Genomic DNA, 12,957 nt, shown 5'->3' with positions numbered 1-12,957 from the left:
GGGCTGAGTCTAGAGCCTGCCATTTGTTAGTTCTCTGTGACCACGGTCAGGACCCTTCATGCGTCAGAACCTCAGCTTCCACATCAGATAACCTCAGATCATGAGGACGGTCATCCCTTCGCTGCCTGCTTCGTGGCATTATGTCCCACATGCAGTTAGGCATGAAAAAATGCCTCCTGAATTACATGATTCAGTGTAACTGATTTTAACCAAAGATTTGCTTTTATTTGTTTTGACACTGATTACCTTGTAAAAGAGGCAGCCATGTGACCTCAGACAAGCTATTTAATCTGTGACTCAGTTTTTACATTTGTAAATGAGAGGACCCCAGAGAGTTGTTGGGGGGATAAAAATGAGGTTCTGGCACATTGAAAGAGATTAGTCAATATTAACATTACTGTGAGGTGGCATCATATATTTAACTTAATGGCTTTCAAGAGTGGAAGAGGCCAATTCCCTATTGTACCCTCTGACCTTTCATAGTAACATGGGGTTGCCATTATCTTAATCGTTACAACAAATTTCCTAATGTGAATTAAGGTTATGGAGGTTTAGTATTAAAAACAGTGAAATAAACTGTAGACAAGTAGGAATGATTTTAGAATTCTCCACCCATCTCCACCTCCAGCAACCTGATTGTTATCTTAAAGGCAGACTGGTTTGGGTGCTCATATATCTACATAAAGATTTTCTTTTTGTTGTACCCTTTAGTGCAGTGGTTCTCACATAAGAAATCACTGTGCAGGGTATGCATTAAAATCCTGTGCTTATATTCTAAGGGCTAATTAAGGCATATTCAAGGCTAGTTTTGACTACATACAACATTCTTCCAATACTGGCTTTTGAACTGACCTCACAGCCAATCAGCTTTATCCAGCGTGTCCCAGTGTGGGATATTTTGAGTCATTTTCAGGCAGAGAAGTGCCAGAGCTAGTTCATATTGACTAGCAAGAGCCGACTTAAATGTTCAGGAACCTTGTGAGCCAATTGATGTGACATTAACAGTTTGAAATTGGCTGTGATGGGAGTATTTACACCATGGATATGGGCAAACACCGATCAAAACTTCCTTCCAAGAGCCTGTTGTTAAATATTACCAGCACATCACTGTTTTCTGCACGTTAGAATCATTAAATTTCAGCCTAAGCAGGAAGTGTTTAGTCTGTATGCCTGTGTCTGGATATATCTGTCTCTTTCTGTCTAGGTGAGGCTTACAGAGGAAAGGTGACTTGCCTGAAAGAAGTTGGTCAGTTAGAGGCCAGATGTGAACCCAGGCCTCTGCTGTTTATAGTCTAGACTGCATTATGTGGGGAGCTCATGATCAAATATTAATTATAAAATTAAAAATTAATCCACTTAGCTTATTGAGTTAGGTACCAATCACAGTCTCCAATTACAGCAGCAATCTTTTAGGATTTTTTTCCTCTCTCACCAAGTTGCCTTTTCCCTCTGTTCTTGCACCATTATCATGGGGCTTCATGGCCTGTTACAGGCTGAGAGAGCTGGAATAACACGGATTTTGTTTACAGGGCAGAACCATTATTTTCCAGTTGGGGCTACTCATTATATTGATATCATCCAAGGAAGTGTAGTATATCCAACGAAACTTAGTGTTCTTTTTTTTTTTGGAGACGGAGTCTCACTCTGCCTCCAGGCTGGAGTGCAGTGGCACGATCTCAGCTCACTGTAATCTCCACCTCCCAGGTTCAAGCCTTTCTCCTGCCTCAGCCTCCCGAGTAGCTGGGATTACAGGCATGTGCCACCACGCCCAGCTAATTTTTGTATTTTTAGTAGAGACGGGGTTTCACCATATTGGCCAGGATGGTCTCAATCTCCTGACCTCGGCCTCCCAAAGTGCTAGGATTACAGGCGTGATCCCCCGCACCTGGTCAACTTAGTGTTCTTATGCTTACTATTCTCAGAGAGGAAAATCATGCTCTAATAATAATTTTAGGAAACACTTGATTTCAGGAGACAAGATTTTGTTGATGCTTTCTCTTCTGTCCTATCCTCCTGGTGTCATGATGGAGATTTTAGCCCTGTTTTATTTTCCTTGTTTAAAAACGTAGCCGTTCTGAGAGGTAGCGTGATCTAACCCGGGTCATCTAAGTCTGCACTAGAATGCAGAGTAGCATATGAGGAGGGGGCTTAACACACAAAGGGGGCTGCTGCAGAAACCATTTAATTTTTCAGAATGACTTAAAGAATTTATATATTTTAAAAATTATAAAAAGCTGTCCGGGCATGGTGGCACACGCCTGTAATCTCAAGCACTTTGGGAGGCCAACACTGCTTAAGTTCAGTTGTTTGAGACCAGCCTGGGCAACATAGTGAGACCCCATCTCTACAAAACACACAAAGATTAGTTGGGCATGGTGGCATGTGCTGGTAGTCCCAGGTACTCGGGAGGTTCAGGTGGGATTGCTTGAGACTGGAGGTTGAGGCTGCAGTGAGCTATGATGGTGCCCCTGCATTCCATCCAGCCTGGGTGACAGAGTGAGACCCTCAAAAAAAAAATTTATAAAAGCTTACTATAGTCAATTGATTGCATTTAAAGCTTTTGTTTTTTTTTTTTTTTTTTTTTTTTGGACTTCAGCTGATTTGTTACGTCTGTCTTGTTTTAAAAGGAATGCAGTCTGCCTGGAGCCTCACCTTTCATTACAACAGAACTTTGTAACCAATAGTGTTTCAAAACCTTCTATCTGGAAGACTTTATCAGGGCTTTGGCCTTGAAAGGAATGTCTTCCTACTAATGTTTGTTAAACAAGTGGTGTGTGAAGGAGTGTAATCTTTCTGGGTTTATTGGCAAAGGAGAACACTCCCTCTGTGTGTTCCTGGTCTTCAGTGCATTGAAACTTCTTTTCACAGGGGTTGTATTTGTGTATATTTCATATATACATATAAATCCTTTTACAGGGAATGAAAAAGACTCGAGTAGATGCAAAAAAAATTGGTCCTCTTAAACTGGCTGCCCTAAATGGACTCTCCCTATCTCGAGTGCCTCTGCCTGATGAAGGAAAGGAAGTGGCTACCAGAGCAACGAATGATGAAAGGGTATGTATGGGACACACAGGGCTTTGTGCCTTCTCTGGAACAACCGGTAAATACTACGCAAATGCCTTCATGAGATTTTGGTGAATTTTCTAACACAATTTAATAATAAATGAGTGTTAAGGAATTTTGTAATATGGGCCTCAAAATTGGGGCAAATGTATAGCTAATGTCTTAATAGATAATTTCAGGTTCGAATGCTGATTTTTTGTTTGTTTGTTTCTCAGTGTTCTTTTTTACCTTCTCCTGGCCTTTTGGAGCAGTCTTGATTTTGATGGCCTTAAAGTGAGAAGAAATCTACAAAAATACAGGAGCATACAGGGGAAAAGCAGCAGACATTGACTTTTATTATACTGAAAGTTTATCTCGAGAGTAGTTTCTCAATTTTTCAAAACTTCCTTTGTGCCTGAGGTGTATTTTCTATGAGGTTTTATTACATCAAAATCAGATAGGCATACATTTGCTTTACAACGGGATCCTGGAGGTAGTTTCGAATATTTCCTACTGCTTTAGTCTTTTATATATCGTATGACATAAAATGGAAACATTTGTTCATAGCTGTTGGAACTCATTATCCGTCCCCTAGATTTACTTACTGTTCCCCAGGAGAATTCCATCTATTAGGGGTCACAAAATTGACCACAGATCTAGAGAAAATGAATTCAACAAATTTCTTTAGGCCAATTTTCAACTTTAAACAAAAGTTTGCATTATATTTCTCACCAAAATGATTGTCTTTTGTTCTTTTAACTCTTGTTGTTGTGGCTTTTTAAAATTTTAACTTCATTTTCACCTAGAATTTTGTTTCTGTTTTGGTTTTGGTTTGGTTTTTTTGAGATAGGTTCTCATGGTTCACTGCAGCCTCAACCTCCTGGGCTCAAGCAATCCTCCTGCCTCATCCTCCCAAGTAGATGGGACCACAGGCATGCACCACCACACCTGGCTCGTTTTTTAATTTTTTGCAGAGACGGGGTCTCACTGTGTTTCTCAGGCTGGTCCTGAACTCCTAGGCTCAAGTGATCCTCCCTCCTTGGCCTCCCAAAGTGCAGGGATTACAGGCATGAGACACCGTGCCCAACCTAGAATTTTCAATATTATACAGTGCTAGATTTGAAGCAGAAAACAAGATTTCAAATATACAGTCAAAAGGTAGCCACGACGTGTGGCTGTATTCATGTTATTACACATATTCTGTTTTATAGTGTAAAATTCTGGAACAACGATTAGAACAAGGAATGGTATTCACAGAATATGAAAGAATTCTTAAGAAACGGCTAGTTGATGGGGAGTGCTCAACAGCACGACTCCCTGAAAATGCAGAAAGAAATCGATTCCAAGATGTTCTTCCTTATGATGATGTGAGAGTGGAGTTGGTCCCAACTAAAGAAAACAACACTGGTTACATCAACGCATCACATATTAAGGTGAGAGGAACGCCTCAAGTAATCAACAGCACATGCAGTTTCAGTTAAGTTACAAGAATGGTAAGAATTGTATTCATGTCTGTTTAGAATTCAGATATTTTAAAATTTATTTTTATTGTATTGTTTTAGATAAACACCCTAGTTTTAAACATTTGTGACAAACTGTACTGCAAGCTGGGAAATCCACATACCAGTGCTAGATAAAAAGCGTCTATCAGACAGAGCCAAAGTCATGTCTACTCTCCATGTGCGAAACCACTCTGCCCCCAACACTGTTACCAGGACTCAGGGCGCACTTATTTGCCCGGCTTTTTTTTTTTTCTTTTGCCTTTTTTGAGATAGAGTCTTGCTCTGTCGCCCAGACAGGTGGAGTGCAGTGGTATGATCATGGCTCCCTACAGCCTTGACCTTGTGTTGCCTGGCTTTAGAACTTTGTCCTTCTAAATCTGAAGACCTCTTTTTAGCTCATAAATTCTGGGAGCCACTGAATTGCTAGTTTTTCCTCATCACATACTGACATGCATTTTTATGTAACAAAAGTGTCTGGGCTTTTTGATGGTGTTCACAAAAGCTTTCAACTTACCAAGGTGCCATCTGTTCTCTTTACATACTCTTTATAATAATTTTTAAGTATCATTTTTTTTCTTTGAAGAAGTGCTTTTTTCCTGGAACCAGTATAATGCCATTAAACTGGGGTAATGTTTATGGTGAGAGATAGGGGGTCCAGTTTTACTTTTCTGCTTATGGATATCCAGTCTTCCCAGTCCCATGTATTTAAGAGGCTGTCCTTCCCTAGTGTATGTTCTTGGCACCTTATCTGGGGTAATATCACTCCTATGAAAATGGACAAAATGATGATTCACAACACATGATGGAATAAAGCCAGATGTTCCCTCTTCCTCATTGTACCCTTTGTTCATGCTGGCCACATTCAATTCTTTATTTTGGGAAGGAGAAATCTCATGGTGAGTGAATGAGTAACTGTGGACAGGTGGTGGTTTTTTTCTTTAGTTTGCAAGTATTATTTGAGAAGGGAACAAGCTGACACCAAGGCTTTCTGGAGACTGGCAGTCTGCCTGTGAATGCCAGTACCCCTTGATGGCTTTTGGGAATCTATGCACATACTATTTTGTTTTTAAATATAATATCAGCATAATTTACTTAAAAACCGAGCATTTCCTTGAAATAACTCATCCAGTCTCTCATGACTAGATGGATAAGAATGAATGATACTGTAGTTCTGTAGTGATATTTCAAAATCTTCAGCAGCCACTTGCAGAATAGAGGAAAGAATTTGATAGACCTGGGTCTGACGCCTAGATCTAAAATGAGGTGGGACCTCACTTTATAAGCTGTGTTGTGGGACCTCATCTCACTTACATGGAAATAAATAAATGATGACACCTACCCTGCCAGCTTCTCACTAGTCCCCTCCTCCTCCCTAGTGTTTATTCACTGTTATAACCTGGTACTCATCCACAGTGGCAGCCACTGGGTGCTCAGTGAGACGATGTGGAGCGGTGACTAGGGGGCTGGCAGCCCTGAGTGAGAGTGCGTGTGGCACAAGGCTTGGCACTGGGTTTTACGTTTAGTGAGTGTTTGGAGACAGTTATTGTCGTCACTCAATATTGGTGAAGCCAAGATTTAACCCAGGTCTCTTAACCACAAATCTAGTAATTACTGTTGTATTAGACTGCTCTCAAGGAAGTTAAATCTGAAGTGGAAACTTAATATTATTGTGGAGAGTGACCTTGACTCAGAAGTTCAGAGGTGAGACTATCTTAAGTAGGAAGGTTTTTTTTAAAGAAGAGGCACCATGTCTGCAATAACAGCTACTTATTGAGTTATGTGCCAGGTACCATAGATACTGACTCAGTCCTCACAATGACCCTATGACGGTAGGCAGTATCTTTATTGTATAAATGAGAACTGACATTCAGCAAGGTTAAACAGGTTGCATAGATATTATGTATATTCACAGTACCTAAGTTTATAAAAATGTCAGTAATGCAAATTGTATTCACAAGGGAAAAGATGAAAAGTCTTTCCTTATTCTGCTGAATAATCCAGTTTACTACTTTTTTACTTTTTACTTTTTTAAAAAAACTTTTTTAGTACTACCATGAATGCATGCATACATACCTATGTATATTATACCCACACATCAATTTTTTTAACCTTTTCTAATCCCAGGTCTCTGTCAGTGGAATCGAATGGGATTATATTGCCACACAGGGACCATTACAGAATACCTGTCAAGATTTTTGGCAGATGGTATGGGAACAGGGAATTGCAATTATAGCAATGGTGACAGCAGAAGAGGTAGGTACTTATTTCTCTTAAGTGATTTTCTCAGCCTCTGAAGAACAGTTAATGTTAATCATCTGGAATCCTGACCTGTGGAGAAAAAGGCAGGGTAGGGTTGTGGTTCTGTTTCAGATGTGCCGTCTATGTGAGAAAGGCATCCATTGCCGGATCTCGAGTCATTTAACCATGCTCATCTTTAACAGGAGGGTGGAAGGGAGAAGAGCTTTAGGTACTGGCCACGACTTGGTTCCAGGCACAACACTGTCACCTATGGAAGGTTTAAGATCACGACCCGGTTCCGCACAGACTCTGGCTGCTATGCCACCACAGGCCTGAAGATGAAGCACCTCCTTACTGGGCAAGAGAGGACCGTCTGGCACCTCCAATACACAGACTGGCCTGAACATGGCTGTCCAGAAGACCTCAAGGGATTTTTATGTGAGTGACTTTAACTTTGTTCCGAGGACAGCTGCCTCTGGAGGTGTTAAACAGAGAGGAACATTTATGTTTCCGAAATATTTCCTTTATGTTATCTCATATAAGCTTCGGACTTGTTTTAACATAAAGAATACAAGTGTTTTGGGGAGGGTTAACGAGGTTTATAAATTATGATTTGGTAGTGAGTAGAATGCCACAGCTGACTCAGTATCTCCGTCATTTCATTTTGTAGATCAGAAAGTGGACAGAGGTAGTGACTTGCTCAGGGTCACACTGTCCCTTTGTGGTTGGGTTTGGTTCACTGGCACCCAGTGCTCTTTATCTGCAGTCCTCTTAATCAGTGGAGAGAATATGAAGATTGAGTCAACAATGTGATACGCCTTGATCCTTGAGTACTTTTCTATTTCATTGATTTTCCACAGCATATCTTGAAGAGATCCAGTCTGTTCGACGCCATACAAATAGCACAAGTGATCCCCAAAGCCCCAACCCTCCGTTGTTGGTCCACTGCAGTGCTGGGGTAGGAAGGACTGGCGTGGTGATTTTGTCGGAGATCATGATCGCCTGCCTGGAACACAATGAGGTGATGGCGCTTATGATCACCTGGCCTTTTTGGGTGGAAATGAGGCTGGGGAAGAGAGGGACATAGTGACTTAATAGCTCTTTTTGCGCACATTTCCTTGGACTGTGGTGGCCTCAAGATGTTACTAATGTTCCCTGCAAAAGGCTGTGTCTTCTTGGAGAGTCTCAGTACCAATTAGCATATTAAAGACTAAGAAGTCATACGATAAATAAAGCTGTTTAATTTTGTTTTACTTGCCCAGGGTTTTTCAAATTTGAGCTCAGAATTCTTTTTCTGTTTACATTTCAAGGATGATTCATGCTGCCCAGAGCCCTTGAGGGAAATAGCTAGATACTGATAGCACTTAGCACACTATGTTTTTGTATAATTTTGGTATTTAGTGAGACATGGTAATTATGTCCAACCATACAAAGTCAGTGAGCTACACCTGGGGAATGTTGAAGAAATAGTCTGCATGGACATTCTATTTATAGCTAAAACTAATCAGAAAATCAGAAGTAGGCAATCATGGCTTATTTCTAGAAGACGCTAAGGTGGAAAAGAGACTGTCCATCTCCCAACCAGGTTTCTGCCAGGACACTCGTGTCCTCCCATCCTTTCTGTCTCCCCAGGGGAACACATTATCTTCATTACCGTTTCTCTCAACCTAGGTGCTGGACATCCCGAGAGTGCTGGACATGCTGAGGCAACAGAGAATGATGCTGGTGCAGACTCTCTGCCAGTACACATTTGTGTACAGAGTCCTCATCCAGTTCCTGAAAAGCTCCAGGCTCATCTAAGCTCCCACAATTTCTTACGGGGCCAGTCATGTGAAGCGTTTACAGCTTAAAAAAAAAGCGCTTGCCTAACTCATACTTTCCCGTTGACACTTGATCCACGCAGCGTGGCACTGGGACGTAAGTGGCGCAGTCTGAATGGCGGCACGCTGAAGGAAACGTGCGAAGCACAGGCTGAAGAGGGGTTTCTAACCTGGGAAAGGTGCTCAAGGAGGACTTGGTTTCAAGGGCCTTGCCCTGCCCCGGTCTGTCCGGTTTGCAGTACTTGCACACATTTTGGAGATTGTATTTTCTAGACAATTCTCTATTTTACTGAAGCTATGCTGGGCAATTCTGGCAATCATTAAAGTGCATAGATTTCTATCTTAAACTAATTTTTGATAATGGAGTTTTTATTTTATGACAAATATTTAGGGATTTTTCTAGTGAGAAACAACTTTGTGTAAGGATGATCCACAGATATGAGTTGCTCCTATATAACTTTGTATTTAAAAATCATGTTATTATCTTTTGTTATTTTTTAAAAACCTTGGGTACTTAATAATGGTTTAGTTGCCAAACTGAAAACTATACTGAGAATCTGTGTTATTTTGAAACATCAAAAGGATTTTTCTATCCAGAACATTTTTTATCCTAAAAATTCTATATAGTTGTACCTTCTGTTTTTCAAATGAGAGCTCAATTCATTTAGATACTGAAATGAGTCAGTTAATGTAAAGTTGAGGATGAAGGCACATTATTTAAAATGTAAGAGAATAAGCATTATTTTTTCAGTATTATTCATAGATCTAAATGAATTTGATTTTATTGGTTGAAAATGAAGTGAAAAACAATTGCCTAGGGTGGTTTTAAGCACTTTTTTGTTAAAAACAAATCTGAGTTTTAATATATGTGTTGCTTTGTAGATGACACAATAACAATGGGCGCTGAGAAGCGTTTTGGGAGAGATTAAGGACTAAGAGTATGTAAGATGACTAGGACAAGAGTAGGTGGAGTGTGATGGTAAATGCAGGATGCCTTCGTCTTTACAAAAATGCAGTATTATCTATACTCAGACTGAGGTGCTGGGATGGCGAGCAGGGGACCCCACAGCACTGTCCCCAGGGAATTCAAGTCCTGTGACCGCCAGTGACTTACTCCGTTTCCTTGGGGCTTTTCCCACCTCAACCTGTATTGTTTCTTTTTCATAAATAAATTCAGCATTATAGTATCATTAAAAGAAGCCTTAAAGAGGCGTATTTTTCCTTTTGGTTGAAGGAAGGGAATAGTTAATAATAGTTTTCACCTCTTCTCCCAAAAAGTACAGTCCAAATTTGTGCACAGAGATTGCTGTGGTATTCAAGAGGTACTTGCATTTTAGCTCCTTAATAATTCCCTGGCCAGTGTTAGCTGTTTAGTGCCCCCTCACCCATCCCATTTAGGCACATCCCAATAGACAGAGCCAGGCTGAGTTACAGGGGGAGAGTGTCATCTCTGGCCCCGATTAAGATGGCCTTGTCACAGTGACCGCTGAGTAGGCATGGATGAGTGGGATATTTAGCTGAGGAACCCTTTCCCTTTTCCTTCTTTTTGGGGTCTCTTCTTACAGTGAACTTCCAAAATGTCAAATCTAGGGCTGTTTCCCAAATTACACTATTCTAGGCATCATTTTGATTCCCATGTCACTCCTTAACTCACTTCCTTGAGCACTACATGTATGTTGTCAGCCACGAGACAGGACTTCCTAAATAGTGTGTGCACCAGCCTAACTCTGCCTTACCCAGAAACCAACCACCTAAGAGGAAAACTCAGAAGATATTAATGAAAACTAATTGAAAGTACGCACACTTCTCATGTAGGAACAAAATTAAAATTTTACATTTTTATTTTACAAAATTAAAAAATTACATTTTGTAGGAACAAAATGTAAATTTTGTAAATACAAAATTCTTTTTAAAGTCCTGTTTAAAGAACAGTAGAACTAAGTGAAAATATTCAGAACGAGCTCCTTAGAAGAAAGGAATAAGAACTTTTTACTGGAACTATTTTCCATCTCTAGAAAAAGTGCTTCTTCCCCTCCCCCTCCCTCTCCATGGTACGTTTTTGTGAAAATGCTTTTCTGTCAGGTTTAAACAAACAGTTTGACATAGCTCGTTGACAAGAACATATTGTAAAACAAATCTAATTAAAGAGTAATATGTGGTCTATTTGTGTTCCTGTTGTAATAATTTGATAAGTAAACTTCTGAGGGCAAAATTACTGTTTAATATTACTCTTAAAATGTTGCATGTTTGGCGTCATTCCTAAGAGCCATGTAATTTTAAACTTTTAATTGCAGTTAGTGAATATGAAAGGATTTCTGAATAAAAATCTATCCACATTACTGAGCTTTGAAATAGTATCATTTTCAAGAGCAAACTAGAACATTAAGGGTTCATAGGTTTACTGCCTCTGAAATGAGTATATTAATGTCTGCCAAACTTACACAATGCTTCATGTATCTTAGTGTCTTTTAATAAGAATTATCAAAATGTGCACTTCCACAAAACGTAGAGTTATAAACCACTGTTTTCCACTGATCAATTTTGGTATCTCTGGTATCAGTTTTCCTGATTAGTGGGGTCTTTTGATGAAATAGTTTAGCTTAGTTGGTAGTTTTGAGCACAGAAAGTACTCATTTTATTTTTTATTTTTGAGACGGAGTCTTGCTCTATTGCCCAGGCTACAGTGCAGTGGCATGATCTCGGCTCACTGCAACCTCTGCCTCCTGGGTTCGAGTGATTCTCCTGCCTCAGCCTCCTGAGTAGCTGGGATTACAGGCATGCACCACTATGCCCGGCTAATTTTTGTATTTTTAGTGGAGACGGGGTTTCACCATGTTGGCCAGGCTGGTCTCCAACTCCTGACCTCAAGTGATCTGTCTGCCTCGGCCTCCCAAAGTGCTGGGATTACAGGCGTGAGCCACTGTGTCCAGCCAGAAAGTCCTCATTTTAGAATATCATTTGGAATGCTTATTGTAGTCATTAATTTCTTCTGGAACATCTACTGTGAAGCATTCAGAAAATGCTAGAACTTAGACTTTAAAACCCTTTGGTCGAATTAGAAGCTGGGCCTGTGCTTCCTTAGAAACGTCCAGAAAGCAATGTCTAGCCAGAAACAGGAGGAGGAGGGAGGAGAGTGTGGTGTTGTGGGACTGAGTGGCGACAGCATGACGTGGCCAGCTTTTCTGTGAAGCTTTCACCATCAGTCATTTCAGAAGGGTTGAGATGTTAAATGTTCACAATATTAAGAAAATTTAAATATACAACTATGTACAGTAATATAAACTGGAGATTAGCTGCAGCTTGCCAAGAGCAGGTTTATTATTTGAGATTTGCATAAAGAAATGGAAACAGGAAATTATTGTAAATAAGACTTTTTTTTTCTTTTTTGAGACGGAGTTTCGTTCTGTCACCCAGGCTGGAGTGCAGTGGCACGATCTCGGCTTACTGAAACCTCCACCTTCTGGGTTCAAGCAATTCTCCTGCCTTGGCCTCCCAAGTAGCTGGGATTACAGATGTGCGCCATTACGCCCGGCTAATTTTTAATTTTTAGTAGAGATGGGGTTTCACCATGTTGGCCAGGCTGGTCTCGAACTCCTGACCTCAGGGGATCTGCCAGCATCGGCCTCCCAAAGTGCTGGGATTACAGGCATGAGCTACCATGCCTGACTGTAAGTCAGACTTTTTAAAGGAACTCTTTTGGATAGAAATGTAGTTGAATTTGCTTATCAGCAAGATTTCATGTGGAACAAGCTAAAACTATCCCTTTCCAGTTTAAACTTAATTTTTTAAAAAAAGAATCTAAATTGCAGGGTGCTTTCTTTTGAGCTGAGGGATGGACATTTCAAAAGTAGAGGAATAGCTGCATTAGAAATTTGCCTGGGAAAACATTTCTCAAAAGAATATGAGCTTTTCAAATTCCTGGAAATAAGAACTCCATTTACCCTACTATCTAAAATTATTTATAGAAAAATGAGGAAGGCCGGTCGTGGTGGCTCACCCCTGTAAATCCCAGCACTTTGGGAGGCCGAGGCGGGTGGATCACGATGTCAGGAGTATGAGACCAGCCTGGCCAACATGGTGAAACCCCGTCTCTACTAAAAATACAAAACTTAGCTGGGCATGGTGGCACGTGTCCAGCTACTCAGGGAGGCTGAGGCAGGAGAATTGCTTGAACCCAGGAGGCAGAGGTTGCAGTGAGCCGAGATCTCGCCTCTGCACTCCAGCTTGGGTGACAGAGCAAGACTCTGTCTCAAAAAAAAACAAAACAAAAACAGAAAAATAAGGAAATGTCAGGAAATTCAGATCAAAGTTTGCATGTCTACTTGGGTAGAGAGAGTTTTAGAAAACATTTGAAG

The 12,957-nt window shown here is 40.5% G+C and overlaps 2 protein-coding genes across 8 annotated transcripts in view; one reads left to right on the top strand and one right to left on the bottom strand.

Annotated features, from left to right (window-relative positions):
• PTPN21 (protein tyrosine phosphatase non-receptor type 21) overlaps positions 1–10,941 on the top strand; it is an 89,230-nt gene extending 78,289 nt beyond the window's left edge. For all 5 annotated transcript variants that reach the window (NM_007039.4, XM_005267287.4, XM_011536367.4 and 2 more), the window contains 6 exons: positions 2,917–3,054; positions 4,254–4,475; positions 6,669–6,797; positions 6,986–7,220; positions 7,643–7,803; positions 8,454–10,941. In NM_007039.4, coding sequence (NP_008970.2) covers positions 2,917–3,054; positions 4,254–4,475; positions 6,669–6,797; positions 6,986–7,220; positions 7,643–7,803; positions 8,454–8,582 — 1,014 coding nt within the window. In that variant the 3' untranslated portion in view covers positions 8,583–10,941. The remainder of the gene's footprint in view (positions 1–2,916; positions 3,055–4,253; positions 4,476–6,668; positions 6,798–6,985; positions 7,221–7,642; positions 7,804–8,453) is intronic.
• SPATA7 (spermatogenesis associated 7) overlaps positions 6,369–12,957 on the bottom strand; it is an 84,694-nt gene continuing 78,105 nt past the window's right edge. For all 3 annotated transcript variants that reach the window (XM_006720205.2, XM_047431581.1, XM_047431584.1), the window contains one exon: positions 6,369–6,872. In XM_006720205.2, coding sequence (XP_006720268.1) covers positions 6,852–6,872 — 21 coding nt within the window. In that variant the 3' untranslated portion in view covers positions 6,369–6,851. The remainder of the gene's footprint in view (positions 6,873–12,957) is intronic.

This window comes from Homo sapiens, chromosome 14 (assembly GCF_000001405.40).
Source record: "Homo sapiens chromosome 14, GRCh38.p14 Primary Assembly".
NCBI lineage: Eukaryota > Metazoa > Chordata > Mammalia > Primates > Hominidae > Homo > Homo sapiens.
Note: the sequence above shows the minus strand (reverse complement) of the source record. Positions and strands in the feature narration are given on the sequence as shown.